This window comes from Homo sapiens, chromosome 16 (genome assembly GCF_000001405.40).
Source record: "Homo sapiens chromosome 16, GRCh38.p14 Primary Assembly".
Classification (NCBI taxonomy): Eukaryota; Metazoa; Chordata; class Mammalia; order Primates; family Hominidae; genus Homo; species Homo sapiens.
The window spans coordinates 3,082,570-3,103,297 of NC_000016.10; the positions used below are offsets into that span (position 1 = coordinate 3,082,570).

The 20,728-nt window shown below is 54.0% G+C and overlaps 1 protein-coding gene and 1 pseudogene across 5 annotated transcripts, besides 12 other annotated features; one reads left to right on the plus strand and one right to left on the minus strand.

Annotated features, from left to right (window-relative positions):
* RNU1-22P (RNA, U1 small nuclear 22, pseudogene) lies at positions 3,574–3,731 on the plus strand (annotated as a pseudogene).
* Positions 4,599–4,893: a silencer, noted in NCBI's record as "tiled region #9802; HepG2 Repressive DNase unmatched - State 1:Tss". NCBI's record gives its function as "represses a minimal TATA promoter and a strong SV40 promoter by Sharpr-MPRA in HepG2 cells {active_cell/tissue: HepG2}" and the evidence as "EXISTENCE:reporter gene assay evidence [ECO:0000049][PMID:27701403]".
* Positions 4,599–5,616: a biological region, named in NCBI's record as "Sharpr-MPRA regulatory region 9802".
* Positions 4,759–5,616: an enhancer, noted in NCBI's record as "H3K4me1 hESC enhancer chr16:3137329-3138186 (GRCh37/hg19 assembly coordinates)". NCBI's record gives its function as "activates a minimal SCP1, AML or CMV promoter by ChIP-STARR-seq in primed H9 embryonic stem cells {active_cell/tissue: H9 hESC(primed)}" and the evidence as "EXISTENCE:reporter gene assay evidence [ECO:0000049][PMID:30033119]".
* ZSCAN10 (zinc finger and SCAN domain containing 10) lies at positions 6,321–16,725 on the minus strand. Of its 5 annotated transcripts, NM_032805.3 has the most exons (6): positions 16,621–16,725; positions 9,973–10,435; positions 9,480–9,747; positions 9,195–9,259; positions 8,971–9,028; positions 6,321–8,077 (listed from the first exon to the last, which is right to left on the minus strand). In NM_032805.3, the coding sequence occupies exons 2-6, from the start codon at positions 10,366–10,368 to the stop codon at positions 6,522–6,524; spliced, it is 2,343 nt and encodes a 780-aa protein (NP_116194.2). In that variant the 5' UTR covers positions 10,369–10,435; positions 16,621–16,725; the 3' UTR covers positions 6,321–6,521. The 5 variants fall into 5 exon arrangements, with proteins under 5 accessions (NP_116194.2, NP_001269344.1, NP_001352201.1 ...); NM_001282415.2 differs by lacking the exon at positions 9,973–10,435; NM_001365272.1 differs by lacking the exon at positions 9,480–9,747 and having other exon boundaries at positions 10,108–10,435.
* Positions 6,621–7,151: an enhancer, noted in NCBI's record as "H3K27ac-H3K4me1 hESC enhancer chr16:3139191-3139721 (GRCh37/hg19 assembly coordinates)". NCBI's record gives its function as "activates a minimal SCP1, AML or CMV promoter by ChIP-STARR-seq in primed H9 embryonic stem cells {active_cell/tissue: H9 hESC(primed)}" and the evidence as "EXISTENCE:reporter gene assay evidence [ECO:0000049][PMID:30033119]".
* Positions 7,683–8,212: an enhancer, noted in NCBI's record as "H3K27ac-H3K4me1 hESC enhancer chr16:3140253-3140782 (GRCh37/hg19 assembly coordinates)". NCBI's record gives its function as "activates a minimal SCP1, AML or CMV promoter by ChIP-STARR-seq in primed H9 embryonic stem cells {active_cell/tissue: H9 hESC(primed)}" and the evidence as "EXISTENCE:reporter gene assay evidence [ECO:0000049][PMID:30033119]".
* Positions 10,145–10,732: an enhancer, noted in NCBI's record as "H3K27ac-H3K4me1 hESC enhancer chr16:3142715-3143302 (GRCh37/hg19 assembly coordinates)". NCBI's record gives its function as "activates a minimal SCP1, AML or CMV promoter by ChIP-STARR-seq in primed H9 embryonic stem cells {active_cell/tissue: H9 hESC(primed)}" and the evidence as "EXISTENCE:reporter gene assay evidence [ECO:0000049][PMID:30033119]".
* Positions 10,418–10,611: a silencer, noted in NCBI's record as "fragment chr16:3142988-3143181 (GRCh37/hg19 assembly coordinates)". NCBI's record gives its function as "represses an EF-1alpha promoter that drives an FKBP-Casp9 reporter gene in an ReSE screen in phorbol 12-myristate 13-acetate-treated (for megakaryocytic differentiation) K562 erythroleukemia cells {active_cell/tissue: K562(+PMA)}" and the evidence as "EXISTENCE:reporter gene assay evidence [ECO:0000049][PMID:32094911]".
* Positions 12,103–12,172: a silencer, noted in NCBI's record as "silent region_7113". NCBI's record gives its function as "represses an Ori minimal core promoter by ATAC-STARR-seq in GM12878 lymphoblastoid cells {active_cell/tissue: GM12878}" and the evidence as "EXISTENCE:reporter gene assay evidence [ECO:0000049][PMID:35858748]".
* Positions 17,478–17,527: an enhancer, noted in NCBI's record as "active region_10300". NCBI's record gives its function as "activates an Ori minimal core promoter by ATAC-STARR-seq in GM12878 lymphoblastoid cells {active_cell/tissue: GM12878}" and the evidence as "EXISTENCE:reporter gene assay evidence [ECO:0000049][PMID:35858748]".
* Positions 17,688–17,747: a silencer, noted in NCBI's record as "silent region_7114". NCBI's record gives its function as "represses an Ori minimal core promoter by ATAC-STARR-seq in GM12878 lymphoblastoid cells {active_cell/tissue: GM12878}" and the evidence as "EXISTENCE:reporter gene assay evidence [ECO:0000049][PMID:35858748]".
* Positions 18,782–19,482: an enhancer, noted in NCBI's record as "OCT4-NANOG-H3K27ac-H3K4me1 hESC enhancer chr16:3151352-3152052 (GRCh37/hg19 assembly coordinates)". NCBI's record gives its function as "activates a minimal SCP1, AML or CMV promoter by ChIP-STARR-seq in naive and primed H9 embryonic stem cells {active_cell/tissue: H9 hESC(naive and primed)}" and the evidence as "EXISTENCE:reporter gene assay evidence [ECO:0000049][PMID:30033119]".
* Positions 19,117–19,166: an enhancer, noted in NCBI's record as "active region_10301". NCBI's record gives its function as "activates an Ori minimal core promoter by ATAC-STARR-seq in GM12878 lymphoblastoid cells {active_cell/tissue: GM12878}" and the evidence as "EXISTENCE:reporter gene assay evidence [ECO:0000049][PMID:35858748]".

A 20,728-nucleotide genomic window follows, 5' to 3' on the forward strand; every position in this document is an offset into this window, starting at 1 on the left:
AAAAAAACAAAGAATGCCTGAGACTGGGTAATTTATAAACAAAAGAAATTTAATTGACTCAAAGTTCCACATGGCTGGGGAGGCCTGAGGAAACTTGCAATCATGGGGGAAGGCTAAAGAGAAACAACGCACGTCCTACATGGCAGCAGGAGAAGCAAGGTTGGGGGAACTGCTATACATCTTTTTTTTTTTTTTTTTTGAGATGGAGTTGTGCTTTTGTCGCCCAGGCTGGAGTGTAATGGGGTGATCTCGGCTCACTGCAACTTCTGCCTCCCTGGTTCAAGCGATTCTCCTGCCTCAGCCTGCTGAGTAGCTGAGATTACAGGCATGCACCACCATGCCAGGCTAATTTTGTGTTTTTAGTACAGATGGGGTTTCACCATGTTGGCCAGGCTGGTCTTAAACTCCTGACCTCAGGTGATCCGCCCACCTCGGCCTCCCAAAGTGCTGGGATTACAGGCATGAGCCACCACACCCAGCTGCCAAACACTTTTAAACCATCAGATCTTGTGAGAACTCACTCACACCAGAAGCGCATGGGGGAAACTGCCCCCATGATCCAGTCACCTCCAACCGGGCCCCTCCCTCGACATGTGGGGATTACAGTTTGAGATGATTTGGGTGAGGACACAGAGAAAACCACCTCATTCTGCCCCTGGACCCTCCCAAACCTCATGTCCTTCTCACATTTCAAAACTCAATCATGCCTTCCCAACAGTCCCCCAAAGTCTAAACTCATTCCAACATCAACCCAAAAGGCCAATCCAAAGTCTCACCTGAGACAAGGCAAGTCTCTTCTGCCTATAAGCCTGTAAATTCAAGTTAGTTACTTCCAAGACACATTGGGGGCACAGGCATTGGGTAAATGTTCCCTTTCCAAAATGGAGAAATTGGCCAAAAAAGGGGGCTACAGGCCTCAGGCAAGACCCAAATCCACCAGGGCAGTCGTTAAATCTGAAAGCTCCCAAGCGATCCCTTTGGCTCCATGTCTCACGTCCAGGGCTCGCTGATGCAAGGGGTGGGTTCCCAGGGCCTCGGGCAGCTCTGCCCCTGTGGCTCTGCAGGGTGCAGCCCCCGCAGCTGCTTTCATGGGCTGGTGCTGAGTGCCTGCGGCTTTTCCAGGCACAGCGTACAAACTCTTGGTGGATCTACCATTCTGGGGTCTGGAGGAGAGTGGTCTTCTTCTCACAGCTCCACTAGGCAGTGCCCCAGTAGAGAGCCTGTGTGGAGGCTCCAACCTCACATTTCCCCTCTGCATTGTCCTAGTAGCCGTTCTCCATGACAGCCCTGCCCCTGACGCTGACCTCTGCGTGGTCGTCCAGGCATTTCATAGGTCCACTGAAATCTAGGCGGAGGCCCCCAAAGCCCAGCTCTTGTCTTCTGCAGACCTGCAGGCCCAACACCACGTGGAAGCTGCCAAGGCTTGGGACTTGCACCTCCTGAAGCGACGGCCTGAGCTGTACCTTGGCCTTCTTTAGCCACAGCTGGAGCTGGAGTGGCTGGGGCACAGGGCGATGTCCCAAGGCTGCACAGAGCAGCAAGGCCCTGGGCCTAGCTTGAATTTCTCCCCAGAAAAAATTTTTCTTTCTACCACATGGTCAGGCTGCAAATTTTCCAATCTTTTATGCTCTGCTTCCCTTTTAAATGTAAGTTCTAATTTCAAACCATTTCTTTGTGAGTGCATATAACCATACGCTTTTAGGAAAAGACAGGTCACCTATTGAATGCTTTGCTGCTTAGAAATTTCTACTGCTGGCCTGGTGCAGTGGCTCACACCTGTAATCCCAGCACTTTAGGAGGCTGAGGCGGTCAGATCACGAGGTCAGGAGATTGAGATCATCCTGGCCAACATGGTGAAACCCCGTCTCTACTAAAAATACAAAAATTAGCTGGGTATGGTGGCGTGTCCTATAATCCCAGCTACTTAGGAGGCTGAGGCAAGAGAATCACTTGAACCAGGGAGTCAGAGGTTGCAGTTAGCCGAAATCAAGATCATGCCACTTCACTCCATCCTGGTGACACAGAGAGACACCCTCTCAAAAAAAAAAAAAAAAAAGAAAAGGAAAGAAATTTCTACTGCAGGACATGCTAAGTCATCTGTCTCAAGTTCAAAGTTCCACAGGGCAGGGGCAAAATTCCTTCAGTCTCTTTGCTAAAGCATAGCAAGGGTCTCCTTTACTCCAATTCCTAGCAAGTTTCTTATCTCCATCTGAGACCACCTCAGCCTGGACTTGATTATGCATATCACTATCAGCATTTTGGTGAAAGCCATTCAACAAGTCTCTAGGAAGTTCCAGACTTTCCCATATCTTCCTATCTTCTTCTGAGTCCTCCAAACTGTTCTACCCTCTTCCTGTTACCCAGTTCCAAGGTTGCTTCCACATTTTCAGGTTATCTTTATAGCAGTGCCCCACGCCTGATACTAATTTTCTCTATTAGTCCGTTTTCACACTGCTGTAAAAAATACCTGAGACTGGGTAATTTATAAAGAAAAAAGGATTAATTGACTCACAGTTCCAAAAAACTGGGGAGGCCTCAGGAAACTTACAATCTTGGTGAAAGGCAAAGGGAAAGCAAGGCACGTCTTACATGGCGGCAGGGGAGAGAGAGAGGGAGAGAGAAAGAAAGCAGGGAACTGCCAAACACTTTTAAAACATTAGATCTCAGGCTGGGTGTGGTGGCTCACACCTATAATCCCAGCACTTTGGGAGGCCAAGGTAGCACAGGAATTAAAAGAAATTAAAAAATGTGTAAGCAAAAACTCAGCTGTATGTAAGAAAAAACCAATTCCCCCTGAGGAAGAAAAAGAGCTAAAGTCCTTTAAAAATTGACTGCCTGTTTTTCTGTGGCTAGTGAGCCTTATCTCTCCCTTTCCCAGGCATCGTGAAGACCCTGTTTCTCTAGCTGTGCAGCTGCAAGGTCACTAAACAGATAATCTCAAGTCATAACACAAGTTGTTCCTTAAAAAGTAAGAAATAATGTAATGCATGTCTTGACTGAATAACTATCTTTGTTTCTCGCTTCTGTAATATGCTTCCCCCAGCACAAATCTCCCCCCATCCCACAAAATGCTTAAAAGGTAACCGGACTCTTTGTTCAAGCCTCAGTCCTTTGGATGTGAATCCCACTGGGTCAGTGCACCTAAATAATTAAATAATTCCACCTTAACCCCTCGGTCTCTCTGATTCCTTAATTATCCCACTGCAGAGGTGGGTGGATCACCTGAGGTCAGGAGTTCGAGACCAGCTTGGCCAACATGGTGAGGCCCCGTCTCTACTAAAAATACAAAAATTAACCGGGCATGGTGGCGTGCACCTGTAATCCCCGCTACTAGAGGGGCTGAGGCAGGAATTGCTTGAATCCAGGAGGCGGAGGTTGTGGTGAGCAGAGATTGCGCGACTGCTCTCTAGCTTGGGCAACAAGAATGAAACTCCGTCTCAAAAAAACAAAACAAAACAAAACAAACAAACAAGAAAAACATCAGACCTCGTGAGAACTCACTCAGTTTCACCAGAACAGCATGGTGGAAACCACCCCCATGATCCAATCACTTCCTACCAGGTCCTTCCCTTGACATGTGGAGATTACAATTCCAGATGAGATTTGAGTGAAATAGAGCCAAACCGTCTCAATTGCACCCCGGATGTGCTGACCCCTGTGATTTCCCCAAGTGTGGGACACTCGCCTGCATAATTTGTGGTAGTGGGGGACTGCATTCATACCTTCCCCTGAAAACAATAAAATAAAATAAAATAAAAGTTGCTTAAATAGAATCAGGTGCCTGTCTCCAGGCTTCTCTGACAGGCGGGAACAGGGAGGCGGGGGGCCCAATAGTGACAGCAGAGACCGTGGCTCTGATGGACCTACCCACATTCCAGATGTGGAAAAGCAAGGCCAGGCCCCTGACTTTCTTATTGATAATGTGCATGGGTCTCCATGCCCTGGTGGGTTGGTTGAGGACTAGAGGATTTCAGCCTGGCGTGTCCTTGATTACAGAGCCGGAAGCACAGAACCGCTCCCTGATCGCCACCCCTGGGCCCCCGGCCTGAGGGGACTTTGGCCCTGCATCTTTCTTGTCATGACTCCCTCTTCTGTCCTCATCCCCCGGGCAGGGCTGGGGCCGCAAAATCTCCTTGGTTTTCTCCCAAGATCAAGGGCCCCAGGGGCTGGGGCAGAGCGGACTCAGGAGTCCCCCACTAGGCCCTGGTTTCAGGGGAGAGGCAAGAAGGCAGAGGTCAAATCTCTGGGCCTGAGGCCTCAGCACCCTGCAGTTGCAGAGCCTAGGGCGGCCAGGAGGAACAGCTGGGAGGGCACTTCTCACCATTTCTGAGGCCACGCTCAACGGGCCTGGCAGAGGCTCCCGTCTTCCTCCACTTCGTGCCTCCGCTGACTCACACAGACCACCCTCCCCCATTCAGGGGAGGCTTGGCAGCCAGCAGCAGCCGGTGAGATAAAGATGGGGCTGGGGGCCCTGTCCTGTTCTGTTCCGTCCTTTCCTGGGGTTCCATGACTCCTGCCTTTGGGCTGAGCAGGAAGGAGGAAGGGGAAATGGGCCACAGCCTGGGGAGGAGCAAACACCCACAGGGGAGGCTCCCTGAGCAGCTCTCCTAGGGCTGAGCCCACGGTCTGGGAGGGACACTGGGGTGTGCTCGAGGGTGTGGGGGGCTTGGGGACCAGGAACATTGCTGGGGGTCAGTATGCCCCTCCCTGGTCTGCCCGTTTGGAGCATTGGATGCACTCTTGAGTTTTGGAGCACGCACTCCTTGGCGCAGCCTAGTGTCCAGCAGGGGAAACAGCTGGACAGCGACCCCGACAGTCACCTTTGGTGGCCCTGGTCACCCTGAGGGGCCCTGCTTGCTTCCAGCCCCTGTCCCAGCAGCTCCTGCAGGACTGAGGGAGGTGACCAGTGGGAAGGAATGATGTCACCAGGCTCTCTGGGCCCTGCTGCCCCCAGCCTTCCTGAGGAAGGAGGCAGCTGGATCCGGACTTCTCTCTGCAGAGCCTCAAAGAGCCCCGCAGGCTTTCCTCCTTCGCATCCTGCAGAAACCTCTGATGTCCCTTTATCCTGGAAGGACTGTCTCTGGCCTGAGACCCCAGCTCTGAGGGGCCGCCCATGGCTCGACCCTGGTCCCGCCTCTCCTTACCCCGGGCCACATGCTGGGATCTACCCTCTGCCACTGCTCAAGTTCTTTTTTGTTTTGTTTTGTTTTTCTGAGACAGAGTTTCACTCTGTCCCCAGGGGCTCTGTCACCCCCAGCCTGGACAGCAGTCTCCGCCTTCTAGCTGCCGTCCCTGGCCTTGCCTCTCTCAATCTATTTCCATGCAGTAGCCAAAGCTGAAGTGATTTTATTACTAGAAAAGAAATCCCTCCCTGCCTGAGCCCTCTGCAGGTCTCCCATTGCACATGAGCCCAGGGCTGGCGTGTCAGCCCTCAGTCATTGGGAACTGTTGTGTCCCCCTCCGGGACAGATGCTGTCCAGCTGCATCTGGGGCTCCTCCCTTCCCCAGGCCTGGCTTCCTGATACTCCCTCTGCCAGGGCCGCCCCTCCCACATCCTTCCCAGGCCACCTTCCCCTTATTCCCCTCAATAACCCAGCACCTTCCCTGGCACACAGTAGGCACTCAATACATCAGGAGGGCTTCCCGTGCTTCAAATGTGGCCTCTCCCAACTCCTCACCCTCCATCTCTCAGTTGACTGATCCCTCCTCCTTGAAATGTCCTTTCCTGGGGTCCACAAGAGGAATTTCTCCTGCAACATCTGGTGACATAGTCTCGCTCTGTTGCCCAGGCTGGAGTGCAATGGCATGATCTAGGCTCACTGCAACCTCTGCCTCCCGTGTTCAAGGAATTCTCCTGTCTCAGTCTCCCAGGATGCTGGGACTACAGGCAGACACCACCACGCCCGGCTAATTTTGGTATTTTTTGTAGAGACAGGGGTTTCACCATGTCGGTCAGGCTGGTCTTGAACTCCTGACCTCAGGTGATCCACCCGCCTCGGCCTCTCAAAGTGCTGGGAGCATGGGCACCATGCCCAGACAACTTAAGGAGTCTTATGTGACAAGTGAGTACTTACCGCACAGCACAGATCAAGGGTAGACTCCAGAGGAGAAAACATTCCAGGGTCAGATTCCTTGGCTCTCCCCACAGCTGGCTGTGAAGGCTGACATCTCCCCCTTCTCCCTCATTCTGGGTGGCGACACTCTCCCCCCACCTGCTCCCAGTCAGCCTGCTCCAGAAGGTGCAGCTGTGTCCCTGTGCCCCAGAGGGAAAGCTGACAGTTCGAATTTTGGTGGGCTTGTAAAGAAATAAAGAGGGGCCATTTTGGAGAAGGCCATTTTACTTCGGGCGTTTTAATTACATAGCTGAGGCCAGAAAGCAATGCCTCGGCCAGGGAAGGACAGCTGTGAAAGTGGAAGGAGAGGGAAGTGGGGTGTGGTGGGAAGGGACATTCCTGCAGGCCTCCGCTGTGGAGGACCCCGGGTAGGTGGCGCAGGGCGCGGCTGGCGGAAGGCGGGCCAAGCTAGTACAGCGTCTCGCGGGCGTGGGTGCGCAGGTGGCGCAGCAGGTGGGAGTTGCGGCTGAAGCTGCGGCCACACTGCGTGCAGGAGTAGGGCCTGGCGCCCGTGTGCACCAGCAGGTGTCGCAGCAGATTGCAGCTGCGGCTGAAGCTCTTCCCGCACTCCACGCACTCCTGCGGGGGCTCGGCCTGCTCCTGCCCGGGCTCCGCATGGGTAGCCAGGTGCCGCCGCAGATGCGCGTTGCGCCGGAAGCTGCGACCGCACGTCTGACAGCTGTAGGGCCGCTCGCCCGTGTGGCTGCGGCGATGGCGGGCCAGGTTGGAGCTATTGCGGAAACGGTGGCCGCAGGTGTCGCAGGCGTGGGGCTTCTCCCCTGTGTGGATGCGCTGGTGGCGCGCCAGGTGGGCGCTCTGGCTGAAGCCCTCACCGCACTCGCTGCAGCGGCAGGGCTTCTCGCCCGTGTGGCTGCGCTGGTGGCGGGCCAGATCCTGGGTCTGGCCGAAACTCTTCCCGCACTGGGTGCAGTGGTGGGGCCGAGGGCCACCGTGGGTCAGCAGGTGGCGGGCAAGGCTGGCCCGGCGCACAAAGCGCTTCCCGCACTGCGGACAGGCGTAGGGCTTCTCGCCCGTGTGCACCCGTTGGTGGCTGACCAGCTGCGAGCTCTGCGTGAAGCTGCGGCCGCAAGCCTGGCAGGAGAAGGGCCGCTCGCCCGTGTGCACCCTCCGGTGGGCCACCAGGTGCTCGCTGCGCCGGAAGGCCTTGCCGCAGTCGCTGCACACGAAGGGCCTCCGGTCGGAGTCCCGGCGGCGGCTGCCGGAGCCTTCGGAGGACCGGCGGTCCTTGTCCCTGGCGTGGATCCGCAGGTGGCGCTTGAGGCTGGAGCGGCGCTGGAAGCTCTGGCCGCAGTGGGAGCACAGGACATCGGTCAGTGGCGGCGCTTCGGCCTTACTCTCAGGAGCGCAGGGCGGCTTCTGGTCCTGGGCGTGCGCCAGCAGGTGCTGCACAAGGCTGGCGCGGCGCTGGAAGCCGCGGCCGCACTCTGCGCACAGGAAGGCGGGTTCGGAGGAGTGGGTCAGCAGGTGCTTGCTCAGGTGCGAGCTCTGGCGGAAGCGGTGGCCGCACAGGTGGCAGGCGTGCGGCCGCTCGTCCGTGTGAGTGCGCATGTGCAGCTTGAGAATGGAGCTGCGGCCGAAGCTCTTCCCGCAGCAAAGGCACAGGAAGGAGCGCCCAGCCGGGTGCGAGCGCAGCTGGTGCGCCTTCAGGCGAGACAGCTGCGGGAAGCTCACCCCGCAGTCCGCGCAGATGAACTGCAACTCCGGATTGGGCTCGGGGACGCCCTCAGCCACTTTGACCTCCAAAATTTCACTGCTGCCAAGAAGGGACCCATCTTCACCAGGGCCGCTAGCCGCAGCGCCCCGTCCGAGCGACTGGGCGCAAGGCTCTCCCGGCACCCCAGGACTATCTGCCTGGGACTCTGCTAAGATGGGAGTGGGCCAGGCAGCCCCTTTGGGCTCTTCTTGTTTAAATTCCTCCTTGTCTGGGGTTCTGCTTCCGAATCCTGGGAAACAAGACAAAACAGGGACGGTCAGGCCTATTCCCAGGGCCACTATCAATCACCAGAACCTGATTGGCCTGGAAGTGGAAAGAAACCCAGGATCCTGCAAAGCTGGTAGGTAAAAGGCCGGGCACAGTGGTTCACGCCTGTAATTTCAGCACTTTGGGAGCCCGAGGCGGGCGGATCACTTGAAGTCAGGAGTGAGTTCAAGACCACCCTGGCCAACATGGTGAAGCCCCGTCTCTACAAAAAAAAAAAAAAAAAACCAAAACAAAAATTAGCTGGGTGTAGTGGCGCATGCCTGTGGTCCCAGCTACTCGGGAGGCTGAGGCAGGAGAATCGATTGAACCCGGGAGGCGGAGGTTGCAGTGAGCGGAGATGGTTCCACTGCACTCCAGCCTAGGCAACACAGTGAGACTCTGTCTGAAAACAAACAAACAAACAAAAAAACCTGGTAGGTTGGTAGAGAGGGTGGAGGTCAAACAAGGGTGCCCTTTTATTTGACCTCTCTACAAAAAGTTAGCTGGGCGTGGTGGCACACACCTATAGTCCCAGCTACTCGGGAGGCTGAGGTGGGAGGATTACCTGAGCCCAGGAGGTCCCGGCTGCAGTGAGCCATGATTGTGCCACAGTCTGGGCGAGTAACATCCTGTTTCAAAAAACAAAAAGGCCAAAAAGTCAGGTAGGGTCTGGAGCTTCAGGCAAAGAAAGAGGTGTTGGCCGGTCACGGTGGCTCATGCCTGTAATCCTAGTACTTTGGGAGGCTGAGGTGGGAGGATCACTTGAGCCCAGGAGTGGAGACTAGCCTGGGCAACATAGCGAGATTCCATCTCTTTAAAAAAGACAAGAAAAGAAAGAGGCATCAGTGGTCACTTCTCCAGGGAAGGGTTGCTTACCCAGGGGGTGTGCAGGCCACGCCTTATTCTCTGGCACATCCTCAAAGGTCAGGCACTCCTGTATCAAGAGCAGAAACCCTTGGTGAGTGAGGAACATGCCTCAGGAACCTGTGGGGACTGAAATGCTTCCTAGGACTGAATCAGGGAAGGTATGGATTTGCTAAAACTACAGGGTAGAGAAGTTCCTGGGGCTTGAGGACACCCTGGGGTGCGGCCCAGCTCACCAGCACAGCCGCCAGCTCCTGATCTCGGGAACTCTCCTCTGGCCATGGTGAGGGGCCCTGGGGACCTGACGGCATTGGGGAAGAGGGGAGGAAGTGCTGTTAGAAGGCAGCCCTGCCTGCCATATGGCTGCAAGGACACACACCGCATCATCCGGGCCCTGTGAAGACACCTTGGCGCTCTCCTGTCCTGGTCACCTGGGGAGGCCCCACTTCTCACCCCACCCCAGACATCCAGGCCCCTCCGCGACACCCAGTCCTTGGCCTCCTAGGGCACAAGCTCCTCACTGCTTTCTTGCAGGGCCTGGAATGTCTTCTGGGGCCCCGGGCTCAGCGGCTGCTTTGAACTTGGGGGAAGCCTCCACTGTCCCGGCTCAGCAGGCTGGGCAGCCCTTGGCTGGGGTCGGGGAGGCTCATCCGATGGGCCCAGCACTGAAGGCTCTTCCGCAGGCAATTCCTTCTTGGGGCTGTGGCTGGGGACCTGGGAAGCACACCCCTTTTCCTCCAAGGTGACGTCTGCACGGGGACAACTCTTGCCAGCATTACAACTAAAATCCTGTTCAAAACACATTCAAGTTAAGTGACTCCCGGGGTGGCAACCTGTGTCCTGACTCCGAGGGGACATGGGACAGAAACGAGGTTAGAGTCAGCCAGGGGAGGAGTTAGGAGGTGAAGAAGGAATGGTCAGGTGGGGGAAAGTGAAGTTTCCAGAGATTCCTCACTGGGGGGATCAAGTCCCCATCATCCGCATGCTGCTCAGCCCGCTGCCCCACCCTCTCACCAGCGGCCCCGCGTGGCTGGGCTCCCGGTGGATGCCCTCGAGCAGCAGCACCACCTCCTCCCCATCCCTGAGCGGCTGCCCCTGCAGGCGGCCCAGGAGGTGCGGAGGCAGCACACTCAGGAACTGCTCCAGCACCAGCAGCTCCAGGATCTGTTTCTTGGTGTGCAGAGCCGGCCGCAGCCAGTGGCCGCAGAGCTCCCGGAGCCGGCTCAGGGACGCCCGTGGCCCCATGTCCTCCTGATACTGGAAGCATCTGAACAGCTGGTGAGCCACCTCGGGCCTCAGCCTGGACTCTGGTCGCCTGGGGTCCTCTGGGCTGACAGCCTCCTCCTCCTCCAGCTTGACTTCCCCCAGCTGCTCCTGCTCCACGGCAGCTGGGACTGATTCTCCAAGCATCCTTCACTGCGGGGATGCCTCCCTAACGCCAGCCCCGCTCTTGGGTCTCTCTCCTCTCCTCCCACACCTGCGAAGGTGAACACCCTGGGTTAGGATCTGCTGCGAGGAAGCTGGCCCCATACCTGGGTCATCCATGTTAAAAGACACCCAATACGCAGACCCAGAGGAATCGCTTTTCTCACTGGGTAATGGCTCACGAGGGCAGGACAGCCCCCGGTCTCAGGGTTACCAACAAAGCAAAGGCCAGAGAAAACTGACAGTTCTGTATTATCATCCCTCCTTAAAGCATTTAGAGATTTACATCACTTGGCCGGGCACAGTGGCTCACACCTGTAATCCGAGCACTTTGGGAGGCCGAGGCGGGTGGATCACGAGGTCAGGATATCGAGACCATCCTGGCTAACGCGGTGAAATCCCGTCTCTACTAAAAATACAAAACAATTAGCCAGGCTAATTTAGTCCCAGCTGCTGGGGAGGCTGAGGCATGAGAATGGTGTGAACCTGGGAGGCGGAGCTTACAGTGAGCCGAGATCGCGCCACTGCACTCCAGCCTGGGTGACAGAGCGAGACTCAGATCAAAAAAAAAAAAAAAAGAAATTTGCATCACTTTTCCCAAGTGATTAAAGTGACCATCCCTGAAAGAGAAACACCCTGCCCTTCCCTTCTTCCTGATGTAGCCACTGGGAGCACATGGCACCATCAAGATGGATCCTGGCCAAAAAAGTTTGTTTTTTAAAGCTTTTTTTTTTCTTTTTTTTTTTGAGATGGAGTCTTGCTATATCACCCAGACTGGAGTGCAGTGGCATGATCTCAGCTCTCTGCAGCCTCCACCTCCCAGGTTCAAGCGATTCTCATTCCTCAGCCTGGGTTTACAGTAGCTGGGATTACAGGCCTGTGGCAGCACGCCCAGCTAATTTTTGCATTTTTAGTAGACACAAGAGTTTCACCATGTTGGCTGGGCTGGTCTTGAACTCCTGACCTCAAGTGATCAGCCCACCTCAGTCTCCCAAATTGCTGAGATTAAGGCGTGAACCACTGCACCAAGCCTGTTTTTTAAATTTTTAATTTAATTAAGTAATTTATTTATTTTTTTGAGACAGGGTCTCACTCTGTCACGCAGGCTGCAGTGCAGTGGCGCAATCACGGCTCACTGCAGCCTTGATCTGCTGGGCTCAAGTGATCCTCCCGCGTCAGCCTCCCGAGTAGCTGGGACTACAGGTGCATATCACCATGCTGGGTTAATTTTATTTATTTTTTGTAGACACGAGTTCTCATTATGTTGCCCAGGCTGGTCTCAAACTCCTGGGCTCAAGTGATCCACCTGCCTCAGCCTCTCAAAGTGCTGGAATTACAGGCGTGAGCCACTGTGCCTAGCCCAAAAATACCTAATCTCAATCCAACCAGCCTTTATTTATTTATTTATTTGAGATGGAGTTTCACTCTTGTTGCCCAGGATGGAGTGCAATGGCAAGATCTCGGCTCACCGCAACCTCCGCCTCGCGGGTTCCGGTGATTCTCGTCCGTCAGCTTCGTGAGTAGCTGGGATTACAAGCACGCGCCACCGCATGCCGCTAATTTTGTATTTTTAGTAGAGATGGGGTTTCACCATGTTGGCCAGGCTGCTCTCAAACTCTTAACCTCAGGTGATCCGCCCGCTTCGGTCTCCCAAAGTACTGGGATTACAGGCATGAACCACCCCGCCCGACCTAATGGTGGCCTTTAGATCCAACTTCCAATGTTTAGGGCCTTGCAGGGAATATGGAACAAGTCAGACCATCTCTCAAAGAAATTGGCCTGAGTTACTCAGTGTCATAAAAAGTAAGTGCCTGTAGGAGGCGCTGGTGGACAGGAGCCCAAAGAGTCCTCACAACTAAGTGGGTGAACCTAGATTGGATCCTCATTCATTTTTCTTAAAGGCTTTAAAAGACATCCTGGGGCCAGTCGGAAAATGGTGAGTATGGTGGGGATACTAGATGATAACAGTATGACTACCCATTTCTGAGATGAAAGTCTAGTCTTGTAATATATAGGAAATGGCTGAGTTCTTAGAAGACGCTGAAGAGTTTGGAGAAGGGGCCTGATATATGAGATACATATATGAATGTTCATTTCACTGCTCTTTCAAGTTCTCTGGATGTTTTCGAATTTTCAAAATGAAAGGTTAGCGGGGCTGGCTCACGCCTGTTATCCCAGCACTTTGGGAGGCTGAGGCAGGAGGATCACTTGAGCCTCAGGAGTTCAAGACCAGCCCTGGGCAACATGGCACGACCCCCGTCTCTAAAAAAATTAAAAATGTAGGGCAGGGTGTGGTGGCTCACACCTGTAATCCCAGCACTTTGGGAGGCTGACGCAGGCAGATCACAAGGTCAGGAGATCGAGACCATCCTGTCTAACATGGTGAAACCCCGTCTCTACTAAAAATACAAAAAATTAGCCACGGGTGGTGGCGGGCACCTGTAGTCCCAGCTACTCGGGAGGCTGAGGCAGGAGAGTGGCGTGAACCCCGGAGGCGGAGCTTGCAGTGAGCCGAGATCATGCCACTGCACTCCAGCCTGGGCGACAGCGAGACTCCGTCTCAAAAAAAAAAAAAATTAAAAATTTAGCCAGTTGCTGGGGGCACTGAGTGGCTGACGCCTGTAATCCCAGCACTTTGGGAGGCCGAGGGTGGATCACCAGGTCAGGAGATCGAGACCATCCTGGTTAACACGGTGAAACCCCGTCTCTAATAAAAATAAAAAAAATCAGTCGGGCGCAGTGGCGGGTGCCTGTGGTCCCAGCTACTCAGGAGGCTGAGGCAGGAGAATGGCGTGAAACAGGGAGGTAGAGCTTGCAATGAGCCAAGATCGCGCCACTGCACTCCAGCCTGGGCGACAGAGCCAGACTCCATCTCAAAAAAAAAAAAAAAAAATTTAGCCAGTCATGGTTGTGTATACCTGTGGTCCTAGCTACCTGGGAGGCTGAGGTGGGAAGATTGCTTGATCCCAGGAGGTTGAGGCTGCAGTGCAGTGAGCTGTGACTGCAACATTGCACTCCAGCCTAGGCGACAGTGCCAGCCCGTCTCAAAAAATAAAAAATATAAAATAAGTCATCTATAGCCACCAGGAGGCACTGACATCCTCCCCCAACCTCCTCCCAATCTAGGGCTGTGGGGCTTCCCCTTCCTGGTCTGGTAGCCCAGTACTACCCATGGGGAACCTCCGAAATTTCGGCCCCACCCACAGGGGACTCAGTTCAGCCCTGCTCAACTAATTGAGGCTGGATGATTTAAGCTTTTCTGAGCAGAGCAGAGCAGGCTCATATTTTTGTTTGAGTCTCTTTTACATTTTATTTCAGGCAGGGGTCATTTTATAGACATGGAAATCCAGGCTCCTGCCCTCTGCTTTCTGCCCTTCCTGTTCTCTAGCCTCAGGGCTACAAGTGAACCTCTCCTAGAGCCTCCCACCCTCCACTCCCAGTTGGCACCCCAGGTAGGGGGATGTGAAGAAAGCCTGAAGCACCACTCCACTCACCTGAATGGCACAGGGCACTGTCCAGCATGCAGTGGCTGGCACACAGTAGGCATCCATGAGCACGAGCTATTACTGTTCTCATTGCTGCTGATTACAACACCAAGCACCGCAGCAAACAGTGACTCACAGTTCTGTTGGGCCCATCACTGACCCATTCTACAGCCGAGGACACTAAGGCTCAGCAAAAAGGTAACCCAGTGGCCGAGTGCAGTGGCTCAGGCCTGTAATCCCAGCAGTGTGGGTGGCCGAGGTGGATGGATCACCTGAGGTCAGGAGTTCGAGACCAGCCTGATCAATATGGTGAAACCCTTGTCTCTACTAAAATTACAAAAATTAGCCGGACGTGATGGCATGCGCCTGTAGTCCCAGCTACTCAGGAGGCTGAGAGAGGAGAATTGCTTGAACCTGGGAGGCGGAGGTTGCAGTGAGACGAGATCGTGCCACTGCACTCCAGCCTGGGCGACAGAATTAGACTCTGCCTCAAAAAAAAAAAAAAAAAAATTATCCGGGCATGGTGGCATGCATCTGTGGTCCCAGCTGTTCGGGAGACTGAGGCAGGAGAATCTCTTGAACCCAGGAGGCAGAGGTTGCAGTGAGCTGAGATTGCATCACTACACTCCAGCTTGGGCAACAGAATGAGAATCTGTCTCAAAAAAAAAAAAAAGTAACTCAGCCTTGGGCAGCCTCTCCCTGGTAACGATGGCCTAGTTGAGAGCCTTGGACAGTTTGCTGTACCCCCTTAATATGAGCCTGAGGGTTCCCTGAACCTCCTCAGGTGGGGTGGTGTTGTGGTACAGAATGGGGGATTTTAAGCTTAGCCGCTGAGAAGGAGGGGAGGTGATTCTAGAACATGACCCATCTCTCCCAACCTCCCTGCAACACACAGTATCTTCCAAGCCCCTCACCCCTACCCCGGCTCCCCTGCATCTCCCAACCTCAGCCACCTGGGGAAGGACTCTGACAAAATGGAACGGGAAGTTCCCTGCCCCAGTCCCATCCCATCCAGGTGTTGAGGGGCTTCCTAGCGTTAACCCTCAAGCTCCCAGTTTGGGAGGTGGATGGGGACAGGGTGGGGCCAGATAAGCGAAGACAAAGTGAGAAATCCAGATTTCAACCCCTGCATGTGTGAGAGTGTAACCACCCCCGAGCCGGAACTACGCTTTCCTGCCCTCTGGCATCCACTCCAGGCAGCCCCCATCCTCCCACCCCATCTCTCCCCACTAGGGCGATGGAGTGCCTCAATCACAGATGAGCGTATTTCTCTGCCTGGCCTGGGAGTAGGAGCTGTGTCTAGTTCAATGAGTGTTCATCCAGCACTTGAAGTTGCTTCAGTGTCTGTTAGCAGAAATTAGGGAATGGCAGTGATTCTGGCCATCTCGAAGGAAAGCATGTAACAACGTCTAGGACAGAAAAAGTCTGTGATAAATGATCAGAAAAATGGTGTTGTGAGGCCGGATGCGGTGGCTCATGCTTATAATCCCAGCATTTTGGGTGGCCAAGGCAGAAGGATTGCTTGAACCTGGGGGGTCAAAGCTGCAGTGAGCCATGTTCGCGCCACTGCACACCAGCCTGGATAAAAGGCGAAGACCCTGTCTCAAAAAAAAAAAAAAAAAAAAGAAAGAAAGAAAGAAAAGAAAAGAAAAGAAAAAAAAAGAGTGGGGGAGGGGGAAGAAAATGGGATTACGTTTCACTGGTTTTTAGTAGCATGCACAAAATAACAAGAAAACTAATCACTGCTCATCCATTGCCGTGCAGGAGCAGCGGGCAGGTACTGAGTGTCTGGCGATTAAGCTCATTTCATCCCAGTCCAGCCCACGCACGAAACAATCACTTCTCCCTTTGCCAAGTGCAAAGACCAAGCTTTGCACTTGGTGACATGCTCAGGGTCACACCAGGTGGAGCCAAGGTTTGCTTTAGGCTGAGAGTGTAGGTCTAGAACACAGTGCCAAAGCTCTGAAACAGAAAAGGAACTGATCTCCATCCTGCTCTGTGCCATTTTCCTAGCCTTAGCCGAAATATCACAGCATGAAACAGAAAAAAAATGAAGATTCCAAATTTCAGCTCTCAGGGCAAGCCACACAGGGAGGCCGGAATCTCCAGGTGAGATCTCTCCAAAAGGTTTCAAAGAGGTGGAATTCGAGACAAGTTGGCTTCAGAGAATCTCTCCCTCCCCCCAGATCTCCAGGACAAAAGCTCTGTTAATATGCACCTCTGTTGGGGGTGGGCTGGGTAGGGAGGCAGGCAGAGGCTCTACAGCCACCATCCAACATTTGAGCAGCTTAATTTGGAGCCCGGGGTGGAGGTGCTGCCACGAGACCCACCCAGGTCACCTGAGAGCCCAGAGTTGGGGAAGGCGGCAAAGGTGGGGTCCTCAGCCGGGAACACTCCCTTTCTCCCTGGACACAGTTGGCAGCTGCCTGATTTGTTGTTTGTTGGAGGGGCCTCCCTCCGCGTGCTGGGCTGAGTGGACAAGGCCCATCAGTCCACCTGGGAGCACGTGAAGCCAGCCTTCTTCAATGTCACAGGAAGTTCTGCGATCTCCCTCGTCCCCAACGCCCCCATCGCGACAGGTCCACCAAGCTGGCTGGCACGAGGCTCCCCAGCAGACCCTCTACATCCTCCCAAGACTCTTCCAGCCCCCACCCCAGCACCAAGGCCTGGAGCCTCCCCTGCTCTCTCCAAGCTGCTGCGAGCTCCTAGCACCCGTCCTGGCAGCCTGCACCCCGACCTCCCTCCAACTCACCACTCGGAGTCCCCACTACACAGGCAGAGATGCTGGGGGGTTTTCTGAGGACTCCAGGGCCAAAGCCAGCCTCCGCCAGCCTGGGGAAGGGCTCTGGGAAAATGGAACAGGAAGTTCCTTGCCCCAGTCCCATCCCATCCAGGTGATGAGGGGCTTCCTAGAGTTAACCCTTAAGCTCCCAGTTTGGGAGCGGGATGGGAAGAGGGCGGGGCCAGTGACATGAAGACAAAGTGAGAAATCCAGATTTCAATCCCAGCCTGTGTGAGAGTGTAACCACCTCCCAAATCAAGACTGGCCTGGTGCCCCTTGCAGGTCTGCCCGTCTTTCCTTTGGGCTAAGAGCTGCCATTTTTAAATGCCCACAGTGTGCTGGCTTCTTTGCTAGGCTTTTCATTCACGTGACTACTCTTTGCAATGGCCTCCTGTGTGCCAGGCACTGTTACAAAGCAGGGGCTAAGGACACAGAGAGAAACTGAAGGAATGAGGCCCTGCTCTCAGGGGCTTACATTCTAGGGCAAAGGAGCAGCGACGGTGCTAGGAAAAAATGGAAGAGGAGGATGTGATGGGGCAGAGTTTGCTCCATCTACACGGTCACCTAAAGTCCTCCCAAGTCCTGCCAGGTGGCTTTTGTCCCAACTTTACCGATGACGAAGCAAGGGCTCCCCGGGAGGGAAGTGACCTAACCAACAGCGTTTGGCCCCAAACTAATTCCATCCCTGTGCTTAAGGTGCCTTCTTGGGTTGTGCCCTTGGCTGCAGCTGGTGCCTTCCTGAGCGTTCTGAGCCCCCGGGGAGCCAGGACCACCTCTCAGGTGTTGGCCGTTCCCCCGGCCTAGACCCCTCGGTCCGTTGGGGCCAGGACCCTCCTGACTGGCTCATCTGACGGGTCTTTGTTTTCCTGCACTTAACACCTGAGCTCATCCTGTTCCTACTTCAGTTGTCTAGTGCTCCCTTCGTACGACGGTCTTTCTCCTTGGTCTGCTCTGCATTCCCCGCGTCCCGCGCCTCGCTCTCCCAGTCGCGGGCTCCTCCCACTCCATAGTTTGTTCAGGGGCGGGGCCAGAAAACCCCGCCCCCAGGGAAGTGGGCCTGAAGGCCAAGGGGCGGGGCGGGGTTCTGTAGGGACGGAGGGGGCGTGTCCGGGGCGGGGCGGGGTGCTGTAGCGCCGGAGCGGGTGTGGCCTTGGCGGGACCAGGCAGCCATTACAGTCTCGGAAGCGAGAGGCGTGGGGCCTGTCTCATCATGCCCGGTTCATTTTTTTTTTTTTTTTTTTTTTTGTAGAGATGGGGTTTCATCATTTTGGCCAGGCTAGTCTTGAACTCCTGAACTCAGGTGATCCACCTGCCTTGGCCTCCCAAAGTGCTGGGATTACAGGCATGAGCCACCGCACTCAGCCTCTTTAATCACCTGAGGTCAGGAGTTCAAGACTAGCCTGGACAACATGGTGAAACCCCATCTCTACTAAAAATTTTTGTTTCTTTTAAAATTGTAATTTTCCCAATTCCACTTATTTTATTTTATTAGAGACAAGGTCTTGCCATATCTCCCAGGCTGGACTCAAACTCCTGGGTTAAAGTGATCCTCCCATCTCGGTCTACCAAGGAGCTGGGACTACAGCTGGGACTCCATGCCATCGAGCGTTCTTTCCCTCTCGTTGCTGAATGATTTTCCTCATTACATCAGTTATTCATTCTGCTATGGGTAGCCCGTGGGCAGTTTTCAGTTTGGGGCTATCTCTAGTGGTTCTCATATGTCTCTGGTGACCATATATGGGACAGCAGTCTGAAGTAGGTGAAGAGCAGAGTGAGAGGTTAGGTTTATCTTTGGGAGGTAAGGACTGCACGTGTGTACTCCGAGGTCTGAGGCCACCGAGGAAGCCTCAGGGACTGGCCTCCGTGTAGAGCTGCTCTCACTGCCCTGGGCATTGGGGACAAGGCCAGGACAAGCAGGACCCCGTGCGTGTTTCCTCGAATGGCTTATGGTCGCTTCAGAAAGACACTGGGTGTTTGTTGGCGTTCGGGCTGCCAGGGCCATCGAATCCGGTTGTCTGCCAGGGTGTGCAGGGGGAGTGGCGCTTTTCAGGTGTAGGAACAGCTCTGGAAATAAACGAGGGATGGAAAAAGGAGACAGACTAGGCCCTCCACAGCCCAGCTGCATGTGTCCTTGGCGAAGTCACTTTTCATTTGAAAACCATCACTGCCTCCTCTGTAATGTGTGAACGATGATCCCACCTCCCAGATGTATTGCAGGAGAGGGTTGTAGAAGAGAAGGTTTGCAAAAGCACTGAGACCTGAAAGATAATAAACGTGTATGAATCCGTACCTGACGCTAGGGGGCGTTAAAGAGAGTGTGGTTCCCTACTGGGTTGGGGTCAACTGTGCGGAGTGGGACGGGGAACCTTTGGAGTAGTGTCCTTCAAGAGAAGTGTGGTGCCACCCACAGCCGCAATTTAAAATTTTCTGGTAGCCACCATTAAAGAGGTAAAAGGAAACAGATGCGATTAATTTTCTTTTTTTTTTTTTTTTGAGACGGAGTTTCGCTCTTGTTGCCCAGGCTGGAGTGCAATGGCCCGATCTCGGCTCACCACAACCTCCACCTCCTGGGTTCAAACAATTCTCCTACCTCAGCCTCCCGAGTAGCTGGGATTACAGGCGTGCACTACCACACCCGGCTAATTTTGTATTTTTAGTAGAGAAGGGGTTTCTCCATGTTGGTCAGGCTGGTCGCGAACTCCCAACCTCAGTTGATCCGCCCGCCTCGGCCTCCCAAAGCGCCGGGACTACAGGCATGAGCCACCGCGCCCGGCCAGCGATTAATTTTAATAATACGATTTAGTTAACTCGTTATATCCAAAATATTATTTCAACAAATACAGAAATTTGCTAATGAGAGGCTGCACATTCTTTTTTCTCATAAAAGTCTTCAAAATCCAGTGTGCATTTTACAGCGAGAGCACGTCTGAGCTCCGACTCGCCCCATTTAAAGCACTCAATAGCCTTTTGTGGCTTTGGGGCGGTTCTGGGACCTCAGAGTTGTGGTGTTTCCTGCGGGGAAAGACTATTGTGGCTGCTGGAGGGCGGAAGACGAATAACAATAGGCGGAGTGCAGGGCACTGGGTTGCCTTAGGACCTCGCCTTTCCCCTGGAGAACACAGCTGCTTCCTGAAATGATCAGGAACCTAAAACCTCTGCAGGGAAGAAGGGGAGATGGGAAGTGAGGAAGGAGCCCCGGGGGACACCGGGGAAGTGAGTAAATGGAGCCGGGGCAGCTTGATTTGCAGCAAATTTATGATTTTAAAGGCCCGGCAAGGTCAGGCACCGTGGATCACTCTTGTAATCCCAGCACTTTGAGAGGCCAAGGCAGGCGGATGACCTGAGGCCAGGAGATCAAGACCAGCCTGGCCAACATGGTGAAACCCCCGTCTCTACTAAAAATACAAAAATTAGCTGGGCGTGGTTGCGGGCGCCTGTAGTCCCAGCTACTCGGGAGGCTGAGGCAGGAGAATTGCTTGAACCCAGGAGGCGGAGATTACAGTGAGCTGAGATCGCACCACTGCACTCCAGCCTGGTGACACAGCGAGACTCCGTCTCAAGAAAAAAAAAAAAGAAAAAAAAAAAGGTCTACCCAGAAGGTAGGTCACTCCCAGTCAGCAGAATTTTTGTTGATTTGGGATTTGGGAGGGTGAGCACTTAGAACCACAGTCCAGGCCAGTGCAGTGGCTCACACCTCTAATCCCAGCACTTTGGGAGGCTGAGGTGGAAAGATCTCTTGAGCCTAGGAGTTTGAGACCAGCCTGAGCAACACAGTGAGATCCCGTCTCTACAAAAAATTTTAAAATTAGCTGCACATGGTGGTGCGTGCCTGTAGTCCCAGCTACTCAGGAGGCTGAGTCAGGAGGATCACTTGAGCACAGGTGGTTGAGGCTGCAGTGAGCCATGATCCCACCACTGCACTCCAGTCTGGAAGACAGAGCCAGACCCTGTCTCAAAAACAAACACACACACACACACAAACAAACAAACAAAAAAAAGAACCATGTTCCAGCTGCAAAGACTGAACAGTGCTAGGAAAGTATTTTGGTCCCTATACAGGCCACAGAAAAAGAGAGTG

Excerpts from the sequence above, each read along its gene's own strand:
- ZSCAN10 (NM_032805.3), bottom strand. The coding sequence starts at position 10,368 with ATGCTTGGAGAATCAGTCCCAGCTGCCGTGGAGCAGGAGCAGCTGGGG. Across the intron at positions 9,748-9,972 it reads CCAGCCACGCGGGGCCGCTG|GATTTTAGTTGTAATGCTGG; the intron begins GTGAGAGGGTGG and ends TGTTTTGAACAG. Across the intron at positions 8,078-8,970 it reads GTGGCCTGCACACCCCCTGG|GATTCGGAAGCAGAACCCCA; the intron begins GTAAGCAACCCT and ends CTTGTTTCCCAG.